At 40.2% G+C, this 27,899-nt stretch overlaps 1 long non-coding RNA gene across 1 annotated transcript in view, besides 1 other annotated feature; it reads right to left on the reverse strand.

Moving 5' to 3' along the window:
- Positions 1–27,899, reverse strand: part of LOC105373408 (uncharacterized) — a 66,343-nt gene that overhangs the window by 17,689 nt on the left and 20,755 nt on the right. The window contains exons 2-3 of the long non-coding RNA XR_922750.1: positions 13,570–13,750; positions 9,702–9,838 (exon numbers count right to left, since the gene is read on the reverse strand). This is a non-coding gene — a long non-coding RNA (uncharacterized LOC105373408). The remainder of the gene's footprint in view (positions 1–9,701; positions 9,839–13,569; positions 13,751–27,899) is intronic.
- Positions 26,387–26,575: a silencer, noted in NCBI's record as "fragment chr2:7981304-7981492 (GRCh37/hg19 assembly coordinates)". NCBI's record gives its function as "represses an EF-1alpha promoter that drives an FKBP-Casp9 reporter gene in an ReSE screen in K562 erythroleukemia cells {active_cell/tissue: K562}" and the evidence as "EXISTENCE:reporter gene assay evidence [ECO:0000049][PMID:32094911]".

The raw sequence follows: 27,899 nt of genomic DNA on the forward strand, positions 1-27,899 counted from the left end.
CCTGTTTCCCCTTTGCCTTCTGCCATGATTGGAAGCTTCCTGAGGCCTCCACAAAAGCAGAAGCTACTATGCTTCCTGTACAGTCTACAGAACTGCAAACCAATTAAACCTCTTTTCATTAGAAATTACCCAGTCTCAGGTATTTCTTTATAGCAATGCGAGAACGAACTCATACGATCCCTGTCACAAAATCTCTCTCTGTCCTCCTTTTTGCTTTCAGTTAGTATATTTGCTGTTGTCTCTAAAATCTATACCAAAGTGCAGACCATTTCTGAAATTTTGACCAATGTATCAGGCTTCCTGTAGGGTTCCTTTTTTTTTTTTTTTTTTTTTAGATGGAGTTTTGCTTTGTTGCCCAGGCTGGAGTGCAGTGGCATAATCTTGGCTCACTACAACCTCTGCCTCCCAGGTTCAAGCAATTCTCCTGCCTCAGCCTCCCCTAGTAGGTGGGATTACAGGCATATGCCACCATGCCTGGCTAATTTTTGTATTTTAGTAGAGTTGGAGTTTCGCCATGTTGGCCAGGCTGGTCTCAAACTGGCCTCAAAATCATCCCTAGGATGCTTTTGAAGTGCGCACACTCTGCTCCGAGTCTTCACTACTTTAAGAAGGTCTTTGCCTCCCTCAGCACTGCTGCCCTAAGAGAATTTGCTGGCCGCTGTGGGACCAACAACCTGGGCAGAGAACACACACTGTAACGATCCCGCTCTGTGAGTTAGATTTTAAGCTTGAGATCCTGCATCTCTTCCTGGATAGGGCAAGAAGACATTAACATTTCTTGTTGAAGTCACACCCCGGCCACATCCTCTCTGCCCCCACCATGGACTTATCTTCTCCTACCTGTACTGTGTGTGCACATCTGCCCTGTCCACACCTGTCTTATTCCATCTGTTTTTGCTAACAGCTATTATTCTTCATCTGTATATAGTTTACATTTATATAAATGTAAATTATATATAAATCAATATATATTTTAAAAATTTATTAATTGATGATTATCCAAATGAAAGTATTCCAAATTTTATCTGATTTTCCACTAAAGAGAAAATAAAAGTGATTCATAATGTTTATTGAGTGCCTCTCAAGGTCATGGACTTGTGTAGCTGCTGTGACTGAGTAGAGGAAAGCAAAGAAGGTCCTTGGCCTAGGAAACCTCGAGATAAGCATGTGGAGGGGCAAATCAGTGGCAAGTAAGCAAATAAATAAGCTAAGTTGTGGCAGCAAGGGACACGTGTTATGATGGAAATGAAGGATGCCATAGAGGGGAGAGGTGACAAGGACATCAGTGAGTTGGCCAGGGAAGTTCCTCCAAGGAGAAGACGTTGGAGTTGAGACCCACATGATTCGAAGAATGGAAATGTAAGGAAAGAGACTCCCCCAAAGGGCCTGAGGCAAAGGTGAACTTGAAGTGTTGAAAATCCTTGCAAAGTCTGGAGGCTGGGGCTGGAAAGAAGAGCAGGAGGAAGTGTGATGGGAAAGTCGGCAGGCTAAGAGAGACTTTGGACCACAGCACAGAGAGAGAACGCTGTGCTGATTCTTGCGGGAAGCCACTGGGGACCTTGAACACAGAGTCAGGGGCAAGATCTGATTTATATTTCCAAGAAACATCCTGGCTGCTGATTGATGCATAAATGTTAAGAGTACAAGAGCGGAAGAGGGGACCGCACTGTGAGGCTGCTGTAGTCCTGGGAAGAGATGACGGATGAGTCAGTATGGAATTACACGCATGCACACACACACACACACACACACACACACACACATATGTATATATATTTTATTTTACTGGACTGGCATAAACCTAGATGTCATGGGACTTTATGAAAGGATTGAATTATTTCCAGTTGAATATAGGTGGTTAGTATTTCCACCATGAAACAAGTACAGAGGCTTTAGCCCTATTCTCCTGATTAGGAAATGCCCATATCTTATTTCATGGGTCCTGCATGACTTCGGTGACCTTTGCTGAATTAAGTTCCTTTAAGGTATCATAAAAAATGTCACCTTGCAAATTTAAAAAGCAATTTTTTGAGGGAAGGTAAGTGGACAAATACTCCCCAGAAATGTGCTTAATGACAAGATTTATTCAAGAGTATCCTTCCCCAGAGATAGATTTTAGGTAAAACTCCAAGCTTATTGAATAATTATCAAACACAATCCATAGCTTCTAAATTGTTGTGGCTTTGATGTGATATTTACAAACTTAATGGTAAAAGTCAGGAGAGTTGGGTAGTACCCAGAAATAGGATACATGAAGGAAGATGAGGCTTTTGCTGACATTGGTTGCTGAAGACTTTACCGGCATTTCATTGTAAAGAGGTGGAGCATGGAGCTATGTGACACCAGCAATTCACAGGCACAGCCTGAATTGATGTTCTGGGCCTTGTCTCAAAAGAAAGACTGCATATGAATGTGTAAAGCGAGGCTTGGCTGAGACAGAGAGATAGAGACAGATTTTCTAAGCACCTGAAGCAGAATCAGATTAATGTACCAAGATAAAATTTTTTTAGAAAAGGGTAGAAAGGCAGGATGAATTATTACAATTTGTCTCACTTTGACCAAAGAAATGTGGGAATGGATGCATTCTCTCTTTGGTGGTATTTTTTTTTTTTGATGAATAAATTGAAAGAATAAAATCTGGTTTACTTCTGGTTTGGATAAGGTAAATGAACTCTCTTAGCCTTGGTTATTTATGCCATTGTTGAATCTGTAAATTGTACCTATTTTGCAAGGTTTTTGGAACAATTAAACTGTATAAGATAAATGAAAATACCTTACATATCATAAAGTACTGTGCAAATATAAGCTGCTGTTATGAGCTTCTCCCTGTGTTTAGTCTTAAAATTACACACTGGGTGTCTTAGTCTGCTTAGGCTGCTATAGCTAAATACCTCAGACTGGATGGTTTCAACAACAGATGTTTAATTCTCACAGTTCTGGAGGATGGAAGTCCAAGACCAAGGTTCTGTGACAGTTGGTTTCCACTGAGGGCTCGCTTCCTGGCTTGTAGATGGCTGCCTTCTCACTGTATCCTCATGCGGATGTCGGTGGGAGGGGAGGACAAAGGGAGAAAGAGAGAGAGAGAGAGAGAGAACCCTGGAACTCTGGCATTTCAGTTCTTACAATGACACCAGCACTGTCTGATTAGGGCCCTTCTCTTATGACCCCATTTATTCTTGGTTGCCTCCTTAAAGGTCCTACCTCCAAATACAGTCACATTAGGGGTTAAGGCTTCAACATACGGAATACTACTCAGCCATCAAAAGGAATGAATTAATGGTATTCACAGCAACCTGGATGAGATTGGAGCTATTACTCTAAGTGAATGAAGTTAATTCATGAATGGAAAACCAAATATCGTATGTTCTCACTCATAAGTAGGAGCTAAGCTATGAGAATGCAAAGGCATAAGAATGGCACAATGGACTTGGGGGACTCGCGGGTAAAGGGTAGGAAGGCGGTGAGAGATAAAAGACTACAAATTGGGTGCAGTGTATACTGCTCGGGAGATGGGTGCACCAAATTCTCACAAATCACCACTAAAAACTTACTCATGTATCCAAACACCACCTGTTCCTCAATAACCGATGGAAATAAAAAAAAGAAAAATTAAAAAAATAAGAAAAATTTGACCCATATCAAGTCCCAAGGCTAACTGGAGAGCCCCACTCTTTCTCTTCTCCAACTTCATTTCCATTCTTTCCAGCCCATCTCCACCATAATGCAAAGTAGTCCCTAAGCAGCTTCCATTTGCCTTTCCTGTTATGGACCAGAGAATCCGTGGATATGGAGGCTGGCAGCAGGTATGAGCACACGGGGCATGTGGAGGTCACAGAATCAATGCTCCTTTACGCTTAAAAACAAGTCATACCCACAAAAACCCAGTGAGTTCTTTGCTTTGTGTCTTTATAGATGTGTCCTCAGGCAGCCCCACTGTTGCCTCTTTTAATTAAAACTAAGTACTTAATTACTGGAGTCGTCTCTATTAGTATATTTTATCATTGTCTTTATAGGGCTATGTGTTTTAAATCCTAACAAAAAGAGCCATGTTATCTGTTCTGATTACATCCATTTCTAAATTAGAACTTTTATATATATATAAAATTAATATGTTACAAGTAGGAATGATCTACAGACAGAATTGTGGAATAGACTAACGGATTGCATGCAATTAATCATTAACTCAACAAAATAAGCTCCTACATATCAGTAACAGTGATGGGCACTGTTACTGTGGTGGACCAAATAGACATGAGTCCTGCCCTCATGTGACTACACTGCACTATGATAATTCTTCAGTGAGGGAAGTAGGGTGTTCAAGAACATAAGGGGATGCGTCCAACTCAAACCCCAGCTTCCTCATTCAGAAGAAACACAATTTGATGGGTTTATACTTGTAAATTCTGAAAATTTTATTCTGGTAACATTTTATTTTTCATTTTTATTTAATTTTTGTTTTTTGAGACAAAGTCTCACTCTGTTGCCCAGGCTGGAGTGCAGTGGCATGATTACAGCTCACTGCAACCTTGACCTCCCAGGCTCAACCAATCCTCCCACCTCAGCCTCCCAAGTAGCTGGGACTACAGGTGCATGCCACCATGCTCAGTTATTTTTGTATTTTTTTGCAGAGACAGGGTTTTGCCGTGTTGCCCAGACTGGTCTCGAACTCCTGGGCTCAAGCCATCTGCCTGCCTTGGCCTCCCAAAGTGCTGGGATGACAGGGGTGAGTCACCGAGCCTGGCCTTTAGTAACATTTTAAATGAATCATTTTATCCTAGATGCACACGTGCACAAACAAACTATAATATTTTAAAATTCTATTAATGAATTAGGAGTTATGCTACGTAACAGCAATTTGCTTGGGCAATGAGCTGTGGTAAATTTCAGATTCAGTTCAGCTTCAACACTGTATATTCCTAGTAACTTGGGTCCTTATTAATTATATTTAGTTGCCACTCTCTTTCCTAAATGGTAATTATATGCACACCCATTCATTTCGTTTTTCTAAAATGAAATGGCAATTAGAGGGAGAGAAGTCTAGTTGAACAAGCCACTGGAGACATGAAACTTCTAATGCATGGCTGAGCACCAATAGAAGGTGAGCTCCCATCTTGATTGGAAAACTACCTCTTCTGGAGCCTGGCAACAAGACTCCTGAACTTCAGTGTCTCAACCCTGATAGTCCACATAGTAACCTTCCACTTGTCCTTCCCTTACTGAACTTCCTTCTGTCTCATGAGCACACCAAGCTTGTCCTTTCCTCAGGGACTTTGTACCGGCTCATTCTGCTGATGTCAGCTCCAGTGCCACTCCAACAGCTTTATCCTGATCTTCCTCCGCGTTCTAATCTCATCACACTATTCCGGTGTCTTTGTGGCATGTATGACTCACTAATATGGCATTATGTGTTTACTTATCTGCATACTTAATGATCTGCTTTCTCTAATTAAAATATAAGCTCCACAAAAACTAAAACAGTGTTTGGTACACGGTAGATACTTCAAATATGTATTGAATGACTGAAAGATAAAAATCAATGAAATGCTACAGCTGCATCCTTTTCTTGAATTCTGTCAGATGGTCCCTGTTGTGGCAGAAGTATATATTTCCATGACTGTAATTATTTGATTTTGTTTTAAAGAAGTCTTTACCCAACAGTTACGGAATATGTATTTTTCTCAGGCACACAGAGCAATTACAAATATTCACCACATGCCGTTTCCTAAACAAGTCTCGAATACCAAAGCATCAGGATCATCACATGTAATATATTGCATGTCTAAACACAAACATGGCTCTAAAATATAATTAAAGGACAATAACAAGAAATAACCTAAGATATGTTTAGAAAATTTAAACCACACTTTAAAATTGATCGTAGAAGATTGCATAAGGGAAATCATACAATACTTGGAAATGAATGGTAACAAAATACTCTAATTAAAAATTTGAAGATATAGCTAAAACAGTATTTTAGGAAAAAAATGTGTAGTCTGAAATACATGCTAGAATAAAAGGCTGAGATTTCAGAAAGGAATCAAACCAAAGAAAATAAAGGCAGTAAGGTAATAGGTAAAAGATGAGATATGCAAATGAAGATCACTATAGCCAAAATCAAATCTTAGAAAAAGATAGTAAAAGAATACTGTGGAGGCCTGTCTACCCTAAAATGGACAACTTTTCATTATACAAACATCTCAAAAATACTATTGAACAAAATTAGGTCAAGGAAGAATAGAAACCACAACTTGTTTAATAACACATACTTAAGAAATTTTTAGTTAATAATCTTTCTACAGAGAAAACATCACACTCAGGCAGTTTTCTGGGTGGGCTCTACAAAATGTTAAGTAGATTATTTTAGTCTTACACAAAGTCTTTAAGACAACAGAAAATAAGAGAGCACTCACTATGTCCATTTATGAGATGTAAAAATTTAAGGTTTCATATCAAAACCTTAATAAAAATCATATAAGAGAAGCAAAAGAAAAGTAAACTGCAGGCTATTTCATTCCTGAATGAGGATGCAAAAAGTTCCTTAGCAAAATATTGGGAAATTGAATCTAAGTAATATACATAAAAATACAATAGACCAGCCAGGCACGGTGACTCAAGCCTGTAATCCCAGCACTTTGGGAGGCTGAGGTGGGCAGATCATAAGATCAGGAGTTTGAGACCAACCTGACCAACATGGTGAAAACCCACCTCTACTAAAAATATAAGAGTTAGCTGGGCATGGTGGCGCGCACCTGTGATCCCAGCTACTCAGGAGGCTGAGGCAGGAGAATCGCTTGAACCCAGCAGGTGGAGGTTGCAGTGGGCCGAGATTGCACCACAAGACTCCAGCCTGGGGAACAGAGCAAGACTCCATCTCAAAAAAAAATAAAAAATACAATAGACCATGCCAAATTTGTTATAATTCAGGAATTAAAGGTTGAAATGACAACATTACAAATGTGTTAACAAACTTACCATATATATAGATGTCAAAAGGAAAAATATTCATACTAGTTGCAGAAAAATTACATATAAGATTCATAATCTGCTAGTATGAAAACTGAGTACTTTAGAAATAGGAAAACCAGAATCTATAGCAAATATCATACGTAACGGTGAAAATATAGACAGTTCCCTTTTACTCAGAAATCAGACAGAGAAGCCCTTATCCCTGTTCTTATTCTACATTGCTCAGGAAGATAAAGCTGGCAAAGATTGTGCCCAGAATTCCACCTGCCCACCCAGCTCCCTGGGTGCAGCTCCTGGTCACAGCTTGAGGTCTCAGTGCCTGGGTCCCAGGCCCCAGGTCACACAGTTCCAGGGTCCCAGCGCCTTGGTCCCAGCCATAACCAGGAAGGAGGTGACTGATTGAGCCCAGGAGGGGTGTTGGACCTCCCAACTGCACCCTGTTCAGAATCTGCTCACCCTCTAGCCTCCAGATGAGCCGTGTGCCCAAGGTCCAAGGACATAAGCAGCAAGGGTTTGCTGTGGACATGACAGTTGCTAACTCCTAGGAGGTCCCAGGAGGTCCAAAGCACTAACAAAGCCTCTGCCTACCCATTGCACCTGAGCTGAGCCTGAAAGACTAAAGTCCGGGATGTCCAGAAGTCCCAGGCCTGCAGAACTGTCTACACTTGATGCATATTTGAAAAAGCTCCTGTAGAGGCAATCCCCCAAATCCCTTGCAAAGCGGGAGCCTCCACATGGGGGCTTTCCCCGTCTAGGAGTGTGGAGGCCACAGTCCTCCTGGACCACTGTGCCCACCTGGTGCTGAGCAGCAGCAGGAGCAGCCACCAGGGACCTGACTGCCCTCCAGGACTGCTGTCCAGCCAGGCAGAAGGGGTGGTGGTCCTTATTTGATTGCCCCTTAATCATGTTTTATATGTACAGACATGGAGTTGCTTGAATGCTGGAATTAGGTCCTATCCTGGTGTCATGAGGCTAGTCCAGTCCAGGTGCATAGTGGATTGGAGATCAAAGGATGACATTTCAGCCTCATGGAAAGTTCCCTCTTTATTCAGTTCTTCCGCAGAAGGAAGAGCAATTGATTGGAAGGAAGGGATCACCCGGGCCTCCAGAACTAAACCCAATGTTGTTTTCAGACTTTGGTACCTGAAGAATCATGAAGCCAGTACAACAATGACTCCTCTGCATCTCATAGCCAGGGCATGAAGGGGTCTTCCCTGGGCAACAGCTCCCTATTTTCACCTGTCAATGCAGTGTCTACCTGCTATCGCCTAAAAACATCCGTCCCCATTATAAAATCCTTCGGCACCAACCCACATTTAGTTTTCCTTCCTGACTGAAGCATGCCAGGGTTGCCCAATCTGCCGCTGCTCCTTTCCCATCTCAATCCTAATTAATTGATTAATCCTAATTAATCCTGAATTAATGTTATTCCAAAATTTAACCCCGACTTTTGCTAATTTGGGCATTTGTCCATTTGCTCATGGTGAAATCTGGACAATTGCTACATATTTTTGAAGACTGGTGAAGCGGTGTTACAACACTTGGCTTTAGAATGGGATGGGTAAGGAATATATTTGGGAACACTTTTGGCCTGAGTTTTATCATTTGGAAAATGGGATTAAGGCTAGCTATCTCCTAGAATTGTTGAATTCTTAAAATCTATATGTACAAACATACTTGCAAGGTGTAAGGCTGGAGTGTCCACCAGCACAGTGCAGTGTCTGGCTTATAGTACAAATCCAGCACATGCTGGTATATTTCCTCTTTTGACCCTCCACGCAGACGGAGGAGTGAGGACGGCCACCCCCACCTCCGTGCCCCTCCATCATACTCCACAGACACTGGAAAGCCCTCCCTCAACCACTGCCATATTGCCTTCATCTTTTCCTTTTTAAAAAATCTCACACTACACTCTTGCTGTTCTTTGAGGACAATGTCCTAGGGCTGTATATCTCCAAGGGTTGAAGCAATGCTGGCATGTACCTTGTGTGTAGTAAGTGTTTGTTGAATGAAATAAGAAGCAAACACATCTTCCCAATGGGTGAAGAAATCTTTTCATCATGGGAAAGATTCGAGTCCTTGTGTGTTTGGCAAAATGTTATCAATACATTTTCACATAAAGAGCTTTTTATCCCTTGAAATTATAGAGTGGGTTAAAAGTTTCATAATGGTTGGTTATTTTTTTTTCCCAAGATTTCCAAGTTTGTATGAGATGTTATTTTGGACAGTATTTTAAATTAAGTTCTTGATTTGGTATAAAAATATCATGAACCTCAGATGTAGCAAAGAACGCAGCTATTGTCAAAGGGTAAGCACTGTAAAATGAAACAAGTAGTATCATCTCCAAAACTCTTGTGCTAATTCTTCCAGAGCTTGTTCTGTGGGGAGAAACACACTGCTATGGAAACCACTAAAGAGAAGCAAAAAATTCTTTGTAACTAGGAGCTGGGGCCTTTAGCTTTGCAAATTAGTGCCAAAATACCACTTATCCATCTGCATCCCTGACAGTACAAAGATAGTAAAACATAGCACCTTATCCTGTACTTGCTCATGCAGATGGAGAAGTGTCTGAATGTGATAAAGACCATGTCTAGGTTTCTCCTGGACACCAGGATCTGGAAGGAGAACCCCACTGTGAGAAGCAGAGGTAGGGAGCACTGCATTCAGGCACATGAGATGACATTCCCAAAGGGCTTTTGCAAACCAGAAAGCATGGTGGATGTGATTTTTATTACCCTCCTGTGTGCTCCTGAGTGCTCTGCGTCTAGCTGTGCACGATCAAGCAGAATGCTGAAAGCAGCCCTTGTGTGTCTTGCATTTTCTGTGAGGAAGCTGCACCTACATTAACTCCTCTAATCTCTAATAGCACAACCTGTGGAATAAAACAGAGCGACGTGAGCATAGATTTTTACACATAGCAAGATGTGTCAGTTGCCAGTGTTTGCCTCCCCACTTGGACCACCTACTGGTGTCTTTAGGTTTCTTTGTGTTTTCCCTAATGCATAGGATGAATAACCAAATGGGAAACATAAAGATAGACATTTCATGGCTTGTCAGCCAAATAAATTAATATTCTTGCAAACATAGATGTCAAGCATGACCAAAAATAATCATGCTAACTGGGGCCACATGGATTTCCCTCAAGTAAAAAGTACCAATTAAGTTCTATGGAGATTATTTTTATTCCACAGTTTATCAAACCATTTTTTTTTAACTTCCTCAGCCATTTCTCCCTTTCTAAATGTCCTTAAATCTAATAGGTCCAGAAACAGGAGAGGGGGACAGAGGCATCCTTTCACTGATGAGTGGAAGGACAGGAGAGGTAATCCCTGCTAGGGTTGGAATGGGTCCCCTCCAAACTTCAGGTGTTGAATCTTAATGGTCAATGTGGTGGTAGTAAGAGATGAGACCTTTAAGAGGTGATTAAGCTATGAGGGCCCCTCTCTTGAGAATGGAATTGAGGCCTTTATAGAAGAGACTTCAAGCAGTATTCAGCTCACTTGGCCTTGTCATGTGAGGACACATCCTTTGTATCTTCTGGAAGATGAAGTAACAAGGTGCCACCTTAGAAACAGACCAGACACCAAATCTGCTGGCACCTTGGTCTTCGACTTCCCAGCCTCCAGAACTGTGAGGAATACATTTCTGTTATTTACAAATTATTCAGTCTCTGGTATTTTGTTATAGCAGCACAAAACAGACTAAGACAGTCTCCATACCATCCTCAGCCTAAAGAACCAGCTTCTTGCTCAGGTGGAATAGATCTTCTGGAGGGAAGCTATATTTCTACTAGAAAATCAGTTGTATTTTCACCAATCACGAAGGCTCTTCCAGACATCAGGGCAGTTGTAGAAGTGCCTGGAGAATGGAAATAGGCCCTTTTCCGGAACGCCCCCACACAGGCCAGTGGGACATTTATTTCCCTCTCTGTGAGAGACCTGTTTGGTTGGGAATGAGAGGAATGCTGTCTGACTTTTATACCCACTTCCGGGGAGCAGCCAGCTCCCACATGAGAAAGAAGACTTTGTACAGGGGCCAGGACCCTCACTGGATGCCAGAACCCCAGGACTTTCACTACACAAACATGTACATTCTGAATCATTCCTAGCAACTCTTCACGCAAAACAAACAAGCCGAGGAAAGTACCTCTCAGATGCACAAGCCAAGAATTCTAGAAACTCACTTTCCTAACCCCAAGTCATCTGCAGAGCACGCCCACAGAGAGCACCTGGGTGTGCGGCACTGCTTTTCTCTGGTGTTCACAGCTTTTAAAGACAGCTTTTGGGAAAGTATGTTCTCATTCATAGCCGATACAAAAGGTCCTTACACTTTTCTTATAGTTTAGTCATTTTGTAATTGTAACTGATTTTTCTTTGATGTTATTTCTTTTTGAGTCATATGAAGAAAAAAATAAACTTTGGTTTAAGCTTGTTAGCTTTACTTTTGTACAATAGCACTTGTCTTACTGAACCACATAATGAAATTAGAAGCTGCCAGATGTCAATCAGCGTGGCCCCAGGTACCATGTCCTTTTGTGTATCTGTGTGTATGGAATATATTTATCACGTGCTTATTGTGTGCTGGGAACTGTGTAAACTTTTTAATGCATTATGTCAAATTGTAATAATTACTCTGAATGGTGTTTTGTTAACCACGTTTTAGAGATGAAGAAAGTGAGGTTTACCTACAAGCAAACTTGTCCACTGTCATAAACTCATGATTGGTCCAAAAGATTTAGCAATCAAATCCTTTGCTCTATCCAGGAGAAGTTGCAGTTATATTTTAAGCACTTACAGAGTCCAGCGTTGGCAGATAGATACTTTTCATCATAATACATAAGTATCCATCTATTAATACTTTAAAGTTTTTAAATTAGTTTTCTGAGACTGATGTAAAAACTTACCACCAACTGGTGGTTTAAAATAACAGAAATGTGTTCTTTCATATTCTAGAGGCCGGCAGTCCAAAATCAAGGTGTCCTTTTAGTGCCTCCAAAGCAACAGATACTTTCTTCCTTTGCCTCTTCCAGCTTCTGGCAGCTCCAGCTGGCCTTTGGCTTATGGCCGCATCACTCCAATCTCTGCCTCTCTGGTTAGTTGCTTCCTAGTATTGTGCCTGCCTTTCGTCTGTGTGTCTCTTATAATATGCTTGTCATTGGATTTAGGGCCCACTCAAATAATACAGATGATCTCATCTCGAGGTCTTTAAGTTGTTTACATCTGCAAAGATTCTGTTTCCAAGTAAGGTTGCAGGTTCCAGGGAATAGGATGTGGGCATATGTTTTGAAAGGCTACCATTCTACTATGTAACACTACATTTTTAAACGGAAATGAACATTTAGCAAGTATTTTTAACACCTACCATATTTTTAAATATATGTTATCTTTCTTGAAATGTATATTGTGAAGTAGCTATACATTAATTAATAGAGAAGGATTATTTAATTCCTGAGTTATAAGCCCTTTCTGGTTTTAATATTTTATATATTCTACTGTTCAATTTCGTTACGGATATTTATACCTTATTGTTTAATTTCATTATAGATATTAGCATATCAAATTAAGATGATCTATAATTTTTCTATAATTTATTTTTCAGATTTTAGTATAAGGGTTATGCTATCTTCATAATTAAATAAAATAAAATTTCTTTTTCTTTCCCTACTCGCCATCATATTCTATGGAATATACTATGAAACACCAGATTTACCTAAAACACAAATGCATGAAAAAACATAATTTTAGAACTGTCTCGTTTCAGGACACTCATTAAAGTGAATTCTTTGAATTTTTTAAGGCCTTCCATGTTTATTGGTATGTTCAAATTATTTACCTGCTTGAATCCATTTTTAATCTATACTTTTCTAGAAAAACAATCAATTTCTGGCTTTTCAGAATATTGGTAGGAGTTAAAGTTATTTTTTCAACTAGTTTCAACAACTGTCCTCTGTACATGTTGTTAGAGACTCTTCTTCTATCTGACTTCTTTTCTTCTTTTTTTGTTCAGTGTTCCTGTCTAACTATATGGATGTTATATTAGAGTTTACATTGGATTATTGCTCTTTTATTCTTCTTGACATTTCCTAAGTGTCTTCTTGTTAAAATACTATATTTTAATGCAATTATCATATTTAGAATTAGTAAATAAACAGAAACCATTTCCCTATCATTTTATCTCTTTTCCAGTAAATTTTACTATAAAAATGTGATACCCTTTAAATTAAAATTTTTAACAAACAAAATCTCTATTTTCTTCCTTTGAACTTGGAGCCCTGGCCCAGTCCATCCTACAGACATGGTGCCATTTATCTTGGCCTTTTACTTTGTCACCCCCTTAATTCTACCAGAGGTATTGCTAACATCTCCAGTTAATAATTTCCACTAACAACGCAGAACTCAATTAGCATAATAAGCATTTCCCATCTGCACTGAGCACTCTTCCCGTCATCAGTCTGGAAACTAACTACTGTACAGAAAAATCATGGGGAATAATTAGAATTAGCACACACGAGCCACTCAACACAAAGCTCTTGCCATCCATTGGGCATAATCAGTAGGTTACGCAAACGTGGTTATTGTCATTTCCACTCAAACTAGAACATACGTGTGGAAGAAGATGACTTTGGAGTTTGATAAGAGGTTCTGTGGAGACTTGCCCAGGAGATGTCAAGCAAGGCAATGGCCTCCTGAGGGAGGAGCACACACCGCAGTCAGCCTCGGGGCCACCAGCCCAGCTGGGGCCTCTGCTCAAGTAGTTTTCTCTCTTACAGCTTTGGGACCCTCCTCTGGAAGAAAAACGAGTGACTGAAAATGAGTGAAGGCTTTCCCCAGTGCTGTTCCCAACAGCATCCAATGTGTAGACCCCTACATGCAAAGAGACCCCAATGCCTTCTCAGTTCCACATGCTGTCGATGCCTCAGATCGTCCTGGTTGCTGTCTATACTCACCTTGTTGACTACCCAAAGATATGGACCTGCTGAATTCTTGACCTCCATAAAGTCAATGGTCTTCACCCCATCCGCATTTTGGCCATCTTTTCCCTGGCCACCTCTCAGACCTTTGCACCATCCCAAAGCACACTGCCTTCTAAATGTGAGATGTGCCTTGTTTACTTTTTACTTCTGATTTGATTCCTAATTTTTTGTTTTATTGTGTGGATACTATGCATATAAAAGAATATAAAGAAAGTGTACATGTATATAAAAAATATAAGCATGTCACCCAGCATAGTAAAAACACTTTTATCCGAGATTTGGAGGCCACATGTGATCATTCCCAATGCAAAACCTCAACCTCAGTACCAAAGATAAGCATCACTTTGAATATTTTACTATTATTCTCCTGCATTCTTTCTAGTCTTATTATTTCCCTAAATAATTTAGTGTTGTGTGTTAGAATTTTATATGAATGGTTATCATACCGTATGGATGTCTTCTTCTGTGTCTCGTATTTACATTCAATGCCGTGTTTGTTATTTGGCCATGATAATGTTATCAACACAAGTAATTCATTTTTGCAGCTGAGTTTTTCATTCTATGGACACATTGTATAAGTATATAACGATATATTTCTCTATTGTCCTGTCATTGGACCTTTGCATGGTTTACAATTTTTGGCTATTAGAAATAATGCTGCCATGAACATTCTTGCTCATGCACACTGGTATGCACTGGGGATATGCCAGGAAGCAAAGTTGCTGGGCTATAATAGCCTATGTGCATCTTGAAATTCGCAAGACAATGCCAAACTGCTTCTCCACACTCTCATAGATATTTTGTACTTTTCCCAGCATTTAAGAATCCTCATTGCAGTCAGGCACAGCGGCTCATGCCTGTAATCCCAGCATTTTGGGAGGCTGAGGTGGGTGGATTACTTAAGGTCAGGAGTCCATGACTAACCTGTCCAATATGGAGAAACCCCGTCTCCACTAAAAATATAAAAATTAGCCGGGTGTCGTGGCAGGCGTCTGCAATACCAGCTACTCAGGAGGCTGAGGCAGGAGAATCGCTTGAACCCAGGAGGCAAAGGTTGCAGTGAGCCGAGGAGATCGCGCCACTGCCCTCCAGCTTGGGTGACAGAGTGAGACTCTGTCTCGAAACAAACAAACAAACAAAAAGTATCCTCATTGCTCCACATACTCCCCAATACTTGGTTTTATTACTTTTTAATTTGTCTTGTAAAATGGTGATGTCTCATTGTTATTTTACTTTGTATTTTCTTGATTACTCGTTAAGAGTGGTCATATTTTCATGCTTTTATTGCCTATTTGCTTTTTCTGTTCTATGAAATGCCATTCATGTCTTTTGCTTATTTATCTGTGGGTGGTCTTTTTCTCCTGTATTGCTTTTGCATGTTTATTCAGTTCTCTTCTGCCATTTAAGTATTAGTGTTCTTAAAGCTCAGTCTTGGGCTCTCTTTTCTTCTTAAGCTTCTTTCTTCTCATATAATCCCATCTACTCTCAGTTACCATCTAGTCATACCATATGTATGCAAATTACTTCTGATTTTATATTTCTAGACAAGATCTAATTTCTAGCTTCACATCTTAAATCCAACTATTTCTCAGTATGCTCACTTGGATGTTTCAAAGGCGTCACAATTTTAACTTCAAAACCAAAATTATTATTTTCCTCCAAATCTGTTATTTTTAGTGTTCCCAATCTCTAAGTGTTGTACAAGGCAGAAACCTAGAGGGCATTTTGACTTTCCTCTCTCTCCCATACATAATTTCTCAGAAAGGTCTATCAAGTTTACCTCCAAACCACTTCTCAAGTCTATGTTTCTTTCCATGCCCTCTGTAAAACCCTAGTCTAAGCTATGTCACCTTTCAGCTATGGCCACAGTTTTCTACTAGCCTCCCTGAATATATCCTGTGTGTGTCCATTTAGTTCTCCACACTAGAGCAAGTGAAATATCCATTTTAAGTGCACAGTTGATGATATGGGAAACATCAACAGCTTCCCATCTCTTAGAATAAAGTCTGGCATTGCTAACATGTGACTGAGAACATAGTCCATTTCCTGGCCTCTGCCTACGTCACCTCTTGTGATTTCTCTTGCTCCTTGTGCTCAGCTGCACCAGACTGGTTTCCATTCCTTGAAAATCTGCGTTTTTTTTCTGCCCTCATTGTTGGACAGGCTACTCTCCATTCTTAGAATGATACCTACATGGTTCCATTGTGCTTTACTTAGTTATCACCTAAGAATCTTAGCCCAAGCACAACTTCCTCTGAATGTCATTCCCTGATAAGCCTGTCTGTTTTATAAGCTCACCAGGAATTACAGTCATTTTGTATGGACATCTTATGCATCTGGAAATATGAATATCTACCCTCCCCAGGAGTTCCGTGGGGGTGGGGAAGGTGTTTGGTTTTGGTCCCCATTAAACCTAAACCTAATGCAGTGCCTGGCTCATTATAAGAACTTAATAAATATTTATTAAATTAATAAATTATACTCTCATATCATCTGGTTTTTAAAAGATATATCAGGTTTTATTTTTTGTTGTTACTTGGTATCACTGATCTGTAATAAAGCCCAACTCTGCACATATATGTTGTAAAATGTTTGAAATAAGATCACAGGGCGCAGGGGGAGGTGAGAGGGAGTTGGTAGGCATTTTGGTGTGATTTCTAAAATAGGTCCTGGGAAAACACGTGGTAAAATGAAACTTAGAGGCAACTAGGCCACTCATCAAGTCACTGACTCAGGAACTTGGAAGGGCATCTACCGCGTGGAACATCAAACTGTTCAAGGTGAAATAGGTCAATCCTGGGGCTGCTTCTTCGTTTTTGTTTTGTTTTTGTTTCTGTTTTTATATAACCAACTTATTCTCAAAGTTCCCTTATACATTATTCTGTTTCATTTCATTTTGTTTTCATTCTCTTTCACAATTATGGAGATAAGTTGGAAAGGAAAAGTAAGAAGAGATATTCTTTTCAAATTCAGAGTCTTACATGAGACATCTAACATTACTGTCCTGTGAATTCTAAGCAAATTAGAAATAAAATAAGATGATGAAATTTGGGATGGCAGAGAGTCAAAAATTGAGATCCACTCTGGGTCAGAAGAAATGTCTGTAGAATTTCAAGATGTATCAAAGGGAAATCATAATAAGATCCAAATAAACAGGACAAAAACAATACCAGGTATTGCAATTACGCTAACCTAATTAGGATGAATAGTTAAGACAAAATATTTAACTGTTAAATGGGTTTGCAAATCATAAATATAAATATTGTGCCTAGCAAAGGGAATGGTGTGAAAAAAATATAACAAAAACTTAAGTGGGTTGCCGTATTCAATAATTTCCTCAATCATAAATACAGATTGTAAAGAAGACATTCTTTAGAAGACTTCAACTCTTTTGCAGTAAGAAGACTTTGCAAAATTGCAACTGAAAGATTCTACTAGATTATAATTGGTCAAGCTGGTGCTTTACAACCAATCAGAAGGGATAGGCTTCATAAAGTTCTGTAATTTCAGAGATTTCAGAGGAGACTATGTTCATTTCCAGCACACATACATGCACCTTTTCAAGGACACATACTGGCTGTGTTACCAGAAGGAGCATGGAATAATGAAAAAGAATATTCTCTGCCATGTTATTCCTAAAGGATCCTCTGAAACCTCAGGCAATGTATGCCCAGTGCCTGTCCTCAGCACAATGTGAAATTGGCTTTTATTATTAAAGGGCATGGTTCAAGTAGAACACATAGGATGTCCCCTGGGTCAGGGCAATTAAATTGTCCTAGTCAGGAGAAATTAGTTTCTCCTGGATGGCGGATCCAAAATTTAGTTCCAGGTTCCCCAGGTGCCCCCTCTTCTTAGTGATCTCCCTGGAGAGTGCATTCTTATTAAATTTCTTGTGCACAAGTTCTCATATCAAGGTCGGCTTCTAAGGAAACTGCCTTACAAAAGTGACCTGAAAGTCTTATCCATCATACCAATTAGTATTTGTTTTAAGTCAAAGAAATGTATCTCTAATTGTGGAATTGGGTCTATTCACAGAGGTAAAAGAAGGGGTTCCCAAAGGTCCAGAAAACCATCTGACATAACGATTACCACATACAGGTAAAAGGCTTGTCCCATGGGGAAGGCACAGTATGGAAACATGGACTCCGAAAAATAACAAAAGAATAAATAAATAATAGCTAGTCCCATAGTCCAAATGTCAAATGTTAATAAAGTATCACCCAGCATAAGCTGAACTTCATTGTGCTGCTGGTACTGTGTTAGTAAAACCTCCCGTGCAGAGTCACCCTGCCAAAGAGGCAATGTGGGCATGCTGCATTTCAGCAAAGGATGCTTCGGACAGACTCAGGTCCCATCAGCGTCATCACAGTGGCTCCTGATGGGCTCATATGACAGAAATGAAGGAGACGGTTAGAAGAACAAATGATGCTTCTCCAGCAAGGGATACACTATGTGTGTGGCTGAAATCCCAGAGGTTGAAGAATAAACCTGCCTGCCCATCTCACATAGACCTGAGAATGAGAATGAAAATAATGGCCTGAAAGGGTTGAGGTGAAAGATCCACTGTAACAAATGTGGGAGCAAAAGGAAAATGGCCCACGTTAAGCAAAACTCCATGGTCCAAGTCATTTCTGTGCAGGAAGCAAGCCCCTGGGATAGAAGGGACAGACAAACAGAGCCTTGATCTCCTGTTGGAGAATGAAGAAATGACCAAAGATCAGGAGCCAGTGCTATGCAGGATGCAAGACACGGATGTTGTCCACTGTGAATGCTGGTAGACAGTGAAGCTAATGTCCCCTGTCAGAGACTGGAACTGATGCAGCGTGGGAATATCAGAGATGTTAGAATCAATGAGTGCACTGAATAAGAGGTGAGAGGCTTTAAAGAATTGGCAAAGAAAATTCCTCAATAAACATTTGTCCCACTGTAGCACTTTTCTTAAATTAAGGTAAAAAAGGAACTTTTGATGCCACTCAAGGGGGAAATTGTTTTTACAGGTGTGGTTTTCCAGCCCATCACCCTTACTTCCCACACATAGGAAATAGAAGCATGATTTCCTAGTTAACCATTTGATGAAGGATTCATTTTCTGTTGACTTAAGCTCGTAGGTCTTTATCTATGTATGCCCAGCCTGGGCTGACTGGCACTTTATTTTGCTGAAACGAGAAGATATATATTTTATTTATATCTTCCCCCCAGTGCAAGTGACTGAATGTTTGTGTCCCTCAAAATTCATGTGTTGAAGTCTTAACCTCAGTGTGATGGTACTAGGAGGTGGGGCCTTTGGGAGGTAATTGGGAGGTAATTAGGTCATGAGGGTATATCCCTTATGAACAGGATTAGTGCCGTTATAAAGGGACCCCAGAGAGTTCCCTTGCCCTCTTTTGGCCATGTAAGGGCACAATGAGTAGTTGGCAGTCTGCCACTCAAAAGAGAGTCTTCATCAGCACCCCACTATGCTGGCACTCTGATCTTGGACATCTCAGCCTCTAGAGCTCTGAAGAATAAATTTCCATTGTTTATAAGATACCCAGTCTATGGTATGTTGTTATAGCAGCCTGAACTCTGACAATAGATAATATTAACTCTCCACTATGGTCTGTAGCTGAAAACAGCCATGTGGGTCTAGGGTACTGTTTCTCCAATATTGCCTGAAGACCATCTGCATCAGCTACCTGCTTAGCTGGAATGGGAGACGTTTGACTCCCTTCCCAGACACAATGAAGCAGAATCCACCTAGTGGGCTCAGAGCTCTCCATTGTTAATCAGAACCCCCTGTTGATTTCATGTATTAGGCTTTGGGAATTTCATGTCTATCTGAGAAATATTATTACATATACCTGAAAATTGGTATTTAGCTTGCAAACTGCTATAACGGTAATATATGAATATGACATCTGTTTACATTTTCTACATTTTGTGGATAGGAACTGTTAACTTCTAACTTCCCCCAAAAGGGCACCAAAACAACCCATTGATATAGTAAAGCTGAGTTTACTGCTTGCTGCAGCAAGGAATCCACTAAACCATTATGACAGCATCTAAATAGCATCTGAGGGGAGTTCTATGGTTTTGGCGAGGGTTGAGTTTCTGTTTTAAGATAAGTCTTTTCATGCTATTAGGAATGGGCTAATTGGGATTATGTAAAGCGCATGCATTATAGTTTGGGACCAGTGGGTGCAGCAAAAGGAGACTTTGAAGAAAGTTTCCAAGAATAGGCCATTGTTTGGTGAGAAAACAGTTATTTACTGAGACTAGTTAAGCAATCTATTGCCTGAGATGGGGATAAGGACTCAGTTGACAAGTCTATTCTCCAGATAAATATATTTTTGAGAAGACCCAGATACCATAAAGTAATTTGTAAGTTTATCATCTCGGCAAAGGTTTCCTAGAAGAGAAAAATTACATTAATATAGACAGTCAAAGGCTAAAGTCTTGCTAATGTGGACAGTGAACTGTAGAGTTGCAGATGCCTTAAGTTCGTCAAATTGGGAGTTGGAGTTGCCTGTGTCTTATTAACTCTATGGAATGTTCTGTTGGCTCTGTATCAGTGTCAGTGGAGTAAGACCCAGACTGCAATTTCAGGAAGGAAATCAGACCTGAACCTGGCACTCAGAGATGCTCTTCCAACTGGCGTTAAGCAGAAATAAATAGAAGACAGGATATGCTTCATTGCGTCTCTCAGGTCTAATGTCTGTGGTAATAGGATAAAGGAAATTGAAATGTTTGGTCTCTGATTTCTCTGTGGGAAAGGCTGGAGAATATTTCATTTTTGAGATGTGCTACTGGTCAAGGACTTGCTTTGTCACATCACTATTGTGGCTGCAAATTTCAGGGTTGCTATATTTTTTAAGCAACATCATCACCCAAACCTGGTACACTTTATTTATCACTGCCTGTGAACTTGGATGGACAAGAGCGATCTTAGTTTATTTTTTGTTGCTATAAAAAAATACCTGAGGCTGTGTAATTTAGTTCATAAAGAGGTTTATTTAGCTCATGGTTCTGCAGGCTGTGCAAGAAGAATGGCAGCAGCATGTGCTCGGCTTCTAGTGCGGCCATTTGTGCTGCACTGAAGCATGACAGAGAAGTTCAAAGGGGAAGTGGGAACATGCAAGTGCAAACAGAGACCGCACCTGATGGGCTTCCTGCCTTTATAACAACCCGCTATCCGGGGAATTAATTTGTTTCTCAAGAACAAATCCAGTCTTAGGAGAGCCAGAACTCACTCACTACCCTGAGCCAACACCTCCCACGACACTGGGGATCAAATTTCAACTTGAGATTTAGTGGGGACAAACAAACTATATCCAAACCACAGTAGTAGCTAAGCATATTATTGAGAAGGGAAATAAACCAACGTAACTAATGAGCTAACTTCAGAGTGGGATTGGTAGGTAAACTTAAGTAATATTTGGTCCTCACTTATTTCATAACTCTAGGTCATAACATCAAAGAGCCATTAATTCACAAAGGCGTGACCTGTACTCTGCATGCCTGAACTTTGAATAGTAGTTACAAAGAAAAAACAGAGTGTGCTTGGAGAATGTGTCTATGCAGGCGGCTATAGGATTTTCTTATATTCCAGAGATGTTATGACCTACGTGAGGATAGCAGTACCTTGATGAATCCTGGATGTGGCAGCTGAGATAAACAGGATGGCAAAGAACAAAATTGCTGGAAGGTGTTTGCAGGAACAGTGTTTCCCCAAGTTTTCATGTAATGGTACACATAGAAAGTAGTGGTATTTATAAAATCTACTGGTCAGGTTCAGGAATTTCTGCCCTGAGGACAGGAGAATCAATAGCTCAACAAACCTATGCACATTCAAGAACTCAGGTTGGAAAGCTCTGATCTAGAACAAAAGAGTTTCTCTCTGGATCTGCATCCGCATTCCACCATCAGAGAACAGGAGAGGAGATAGAATCTCAAGTTCAAGAACATTCACGGAACCCCATTTTTAGGTGGAAAATGGTAGCTTGATTGCTTTAAAAATGATATAGATGGAAGAAAGGCTCTGCTTCTGGTTGATTGAGTTACTTTTTTTTTTTTTTTTTTTTTTTTTGTAAGTTGGCCTTTCTCTGTCACTGGAGAGGTGAGAAGGAAACTCCATTGCTGTAGTGGGCTTAGGGAACAGGGGAAAACTTTGCCTTGATCTTACATCTGCTGAATAAAAGAAGAAACCCCTTTGTGGCCATTGAAATTTCATTTGGTTTGGGGGATTAAGGCCTCAGCTTGTCATCTAAGTTGCCATTGTTTGGTGCAAGATCAAATGCACAGCTGGATAGTTTGGGAAAACTGAAGCTAGAGCTCCATGTCCTCACTTTCTCACCAAACAGTGGCTTTTACAAGCACTCATTGCTGCTTGGGTTCGGGGGGCATGCAGAAGGAATGCTGATGCCTACGTCTCCGAGGCTTGACCCAGGGAGGAGACATCATGCGATTACCAATAAGCTCCTTCAAACTGAGAGCCCGTAGGATGCCACCATCACTGACAACGGCTACTTGGGTTTTCATTGCTTGGAGAAGACAATTGCTGTTCATTGTGCCCATTGAGCAGACATGTTTGTGGGCATGCAAGAAACAGCATATAGTAATCCTTGGACTTGATTATATGCACATTCTTTTTTCCTTTTTAATTACAGTAGTCTTCTGTGACACAAGTGGCACTTCTGTTACTCTCCTGAAGGAGGACCCTCTGAATCACCCTCGAGGACAGGCACTTGCTCTGCACAGACTTCCCTGTTTGGAGAGCCGTCTGTGCATCCAGCTTCCCACTCTCCCCAGGCACCAAACAATGAGGTTCTGTCTAAGGCTTCTTGAATTTGTCAAACCAGGACAGTAAGGAACTGAATTCTATGACAGCAAGTGTTTTTAGAAACAAAAAAATGAAGGTCAAACTTGGGTATTCTAATTCATTTTCTTCAAAGCAACTAGACATGGTAACAAAGATCTCTCTTTTTCTCCTAGACACACACAGAGACCACACTTAGTGAGAAGCAACATTAAAATTGCTTACACAAATTTCTATAAAAGCAGGCTTTGAAGCTTCAAGTCATTGCACTGTCCTCAGTCCATGATATTTGATTCCCTTTTCTTTACATACAATTTCAGTAAGTAAATTTAGTATATATGTACACATGCATATTTATACATTTTATTTCACACAAAAATCCTGTGAGCTGGTTGTAATGATTAATGTTATGTGTCCACTTGACTGGGCCACAGAATGCCCAGACATTTGGTTAAACGTTATTCTGGGTGTATCTGTGAGGGTGTTTTGGGGTGAGATTGACATGTGAATTGGCAGACTAGATAGAGAAGACTGTCCTCCCTACATTGGGTGGGCTTCATCAGTCAACTGAAGACCTGAACAAATATCTGAGTGAGAAGGAATTCCCCTGCCTAAGTGGCTGTTTGGGATGTTAGTTTTTTCCTGCTTTCAGATTCTAATTGAAAAAATGGCTCTCCATGGATCTCAAATCTGCCAGCTTTTGGACTAGAACTCACAACATCAGAAGGTTCTCCTGGTTCTCAGGCCTTTGGATTCTAATGAGAACTATATCACTGAACTCTCCTGAGCCTCCAGTTTGCCAATTGCACAAGCCAATTCCATATATATATATGCACACACATACATATACGTGTGTGTGTGTGTGTGTGTGTGTTTCTCTGGAGAACACTGACTAATACAGTGGTATTATTCTTCCCATCCTAAAGAGCTCAAAAAGGCTTTGTGGCACCCTAAAGTCACGTAGCTAGCAAGCTACATCTAGTATTCAAATTCAGTGCTTTTCCCATTTCACCGCAGCTGCCATGATATCAAAGCCCCAGCCCCTCTACTGTAAGGTGTCCAGACCATGTGACTGTCTGCAAATCTGGTACAAATGCAGGGTTCCCTGAAGGTAAACGTCCACAATCCAACAACTCCACTCTCCCCAGGCATCTCCTTTAGAAACACACACCCCTACTCATCAAGAATGATTGATTTGTCTTCTCAGTATCTGCATTTTCCCTGAGCATGTGTCCAGCTCTTACTCATAAATCCTCAAGCACCACCGCTAAACATAAGAGAGGGACCCCACTTCGTCACCCCAGAGGAATCCCAAGGCCCGACTGGGCACAAACATGCTTACTAACCTCATGCACACAGTTACCACATGATTCATAATCCAAAATAAGACCCTTTGGAGAAGAGAGTGGAGAGGTGCTATAAATCCCAACACTAGGACAGCAGATATAAATGGTGACTCTCCTGGGTAGACTGGGAAATACAGTCATCCTGTTTATACACCTAATGTCTATTGAGCATCATGTTAGCAAATGCCGTGGCTTTAACATCCCTGAAATAGAGGATCAGCATGTTCTGATAATCGACACTCACATTTTCTCCTTTTCTACCTGAAAAATAATGTACCAAATTTCAGGTGGTGTTGCTCTAAGGACCTAAAATTCATTTTTAACAATCCAGTCAAAATTCATGTGTGTGACATACACATACACTTGTTTCTTTCTATCCCCTTTAAGTTCAAGGAAAGTGCTGTATCTAAGGAAGTTGCTTTGGATTATTAGAAAATCATCAATTAAAGATAAATGGTCAGGAAAGACATTTCAGGACTTGCCCATTCAGGAAAGCATGTATAATTGGGTGAACCTAAAACTTCTCGTGGAGTTGTAAGTGTTCCTCATGCTCCCCAGACACCTGGTCAAGGCTTCTGGTGCCCTGTGTCTGAGAGAGGTTGGAAAAAATTTCCTTGCCCATTTTTTATCCTGCCTTTGAATGTGAGAATAAACAGGGCTGAAATCAAACATCAATAATTTATTCAAAAGGTTTAAATTTCAAAAAGAGGATTGACTTATTAGAACCAGTTTTGGCAGTAAGAGTGAAAGTTGTTGCTGTTGTTTTGTTTTGTTTTGTTTTGACATTGTACAAAGAAAATAAAATGAATATAATTCAATTTCTCAGTTCCAAACATGTTTCCACAAAAGTCAAGTTGAAATGTTTTTCCATAGCATTTAAAAGAGTACAGTAATAGCACATTAACAAAAAATAGGTCAATGGTCATGACAGATTCCAGAGTACTCCACAGGTTTTACATAGGTGATAAGCTATAGGGAAAGTAGAAGCTATTCTAGAAATGATGTTTAAAAAAGTAATTATTAATTCAGAAAACAGTCTTGAGTTATATTTCTACATTGTACCATTCACAAAAAAGTTGTTTGTAAAAAATCAAATAAGTAAATTAGAACTATAGAAACATTCAACAAATATAAAAACAGACAAATATTAAAAACATGTTTATTATGTTAGTTTAGAAAAGGGATTCATAATTGAAACAATAAGACAATGTCTATACAGTAATAAATGATTGCTTTCTCTACATTAAAAGGTAGAATTTTTATATGACTAAAGATGTCATGAAATATTTAAGTACAAAGGAGAGAGCAGGAAAATAGAAAGAAATCTTGATTATTAATAAAAAATATATGAAAGACTCAACAGAAAAAAATGGGCAAAATGAGTGAATAGGCAATTGTCCAAAAAAAAAAAAAAAGAAGAAAAGAAAAAAGGCACGCAAAACCTTACAAAATATATGGAAAAATAACCCATCTAAGAAGTAAACAGAAAATTTACATAGAAATCCAAACTAAAAAGCAATTTTAGATCCATAGAATTGACAGTTTCAAAGGATTGGCAATGTTTAATGTTGACTAGAATGAAAAAACTGCTGTTACTCTCACACAGTACTGGTGGGAATGTAAATTGGTCTTTGGAGAACTTTCAGGTAGATTGCATTAAAATGTTAATGCAAAGATACCCAGCACAAGGCTATCTTTGCATTATTTTGTTTTGTTTTGTTTTGTTTTGTTTTTTGAGATGGAGTCTCGCCCCATCGCCCAGGCTGGAGTGCAGTGGCGTGATCTCGGCTCACTGCAAGCTCTGCCTCCCGGGTTCGCACCATTCTCTTGCCTCAGCCTCCAGAGTAGCTGGGACTACAGGCGCCCGCCACCACGCCTGGCTAATGTTCTGTATTTTTAGTACAGACGGGGTTTCACTGTGTTAGCCAGGATGGTCTCAATCTCCTGACCTTGTGATCCGCCAGCCTCGGCCTCCCAAAGTGCTGGAATTACAGGCATGAGCCAGCGCGCCCAGCTTGCAGTATTTGTTTAGCGAAGAGTTGTAAACAACCTAAGTATTGGCCTTAGGTAGAATAGGCTAACTGCTATAATAAATGAAACCAAATGGTAATGACTCAACAGACAGTTTACTTCTTGCTCAGTGACTGTCCTGATAGATGTATGGTCAATGGGCTGCACTCCTGCTTTTTTTGTTTGGCTCCTTTTATTTTAGGGCTCAGCCAACCTGTGGAGTTTTCTGAGTCCATATCCGGCTGGGGGAGAGGAGAGACCACGGAACAAAATCCCAAGGGGGTGTAAAGGGGCCAGGCCCCGAAGCAGCATCTACAAGGTCTCCACTGGCTAGCTGCAAAGCATGCTGGGAAATGTGTCCATGGCCAAGGGAAGTAACGTTTGGTGAACTCTAAGCTGTCTGTGCCTCAGTGTCTAACAGGGGAGAAACATCTAACTGTAGGACAACAATCCATACACAGAGATTGAGGTGAATGTACATGTATCCTTTCAAGTCAGAAATAAAAATGAAAACGCAGAAATAAAGAAAATGATGCCATTTATTGTAAAATAACATCATTATCATATTTATTTAGAGACACATGAATGCATAGGACATAGTGAGTAAGGACGTACTCGAATGCAGTGGTCCCCAACCTTTTTGACACCAGGAACTGATTTCGTGGAAGACAATTTTTTCATGGACTGGGTTGGGGGGATGGTTTCAGACTGGGGTTGGGGGATGGTTTTGGGATGATTCAAGAGCATTACATTTATTGTGCACTTTATTCCTATTATTGTCATACTGTAATATTATGATGAAATTATTATACAACTCACCATAATGTAGAATCAGTGGAAGTCCTGAGCTTGTTTTCCTGCAACTAGATGGTCCCATCTGGGGGTGATGGGAGACAGTGACAGATCATCAGTCATTAGATTCTCATAAGGAGCGTGCAACCTAGATCTCTTGTGTGCACAGTTCACAATAGGGTTTGCACTCTTATGAGAATCTAATGCTGCCACTGAACTGACAGGAGGCAGAGCTCAGACAGTAATGCTTACTCACTGCTCACTTCCTGCTGGGTGGCCCAATTCCTCCTGCTGGGCGGCCCAGTTCCTAACAGGCTACAGACTGGTACTGCTCTGTGGCCTGGGGCTTGGGGACCCCTGCCCTAATGGGTAGCAAAAGTTATCTCAGAGACTTTGTTGGGATTCAGATTGTGGTCAAAGGGAAAAGGAGAGTGTGCACTTAGAAGTGATATTTGAATAGTTTTCAATAAAATGAGTGTGTTTGTTCATTACTAATATAATAAAAAATAAGGTTGATAATGATGGTGTTCTACAGCTCTGATTTTGGGGGAATTTTGAGGCCATTGGGAAGTGATATGTGGATTTTTTCTTTTTCTTTTTTTTTAATTAAAATTTTATTTTTATTTTAAGTTCCGGGGTACATGTACAGGATGTGCAGATTTGTTACATAAATAAACATGTGCCATGGTGGTTTGCTGCACCTAACAACCCATCATCTAGGTATTAAGCCTAGAATGCACTAGCTATATTTCCTAATGCTCTTAAGAAACAACAGATGTTGGTGAGGTTGAGGAGAAATAAGAATACTTTTACACTGTTGGTAGGAATGTAAACTAGTTCAACCATTGTGGAAGACAGTGTGGAGATTCCTCAAAGATCTAGAACCAGAAATAGCATTTGACCCAGCAATTCCATTACTGGGTATATACCCAAAGGAATATAAATCATTCTATTACAAAGATACAGGCATGTGTATGTTCACTGCAGCACTATTCACAATAGCAATGTAATAGAATCA

The sequence above is a fragment of the Homo sapiens genome, chromosome 2 (assembly GCF_000001405.40).
Source record: "Homo sapiens chromosome 2, GRCh38.p14 Primary Assembly".
In the NCBI taxonomy this organism is placed as follows: Eukaryota; Metazoa; Chordata; class Mammalia; order Primates; family Hominidae; genus Homo; species Homo sapiens.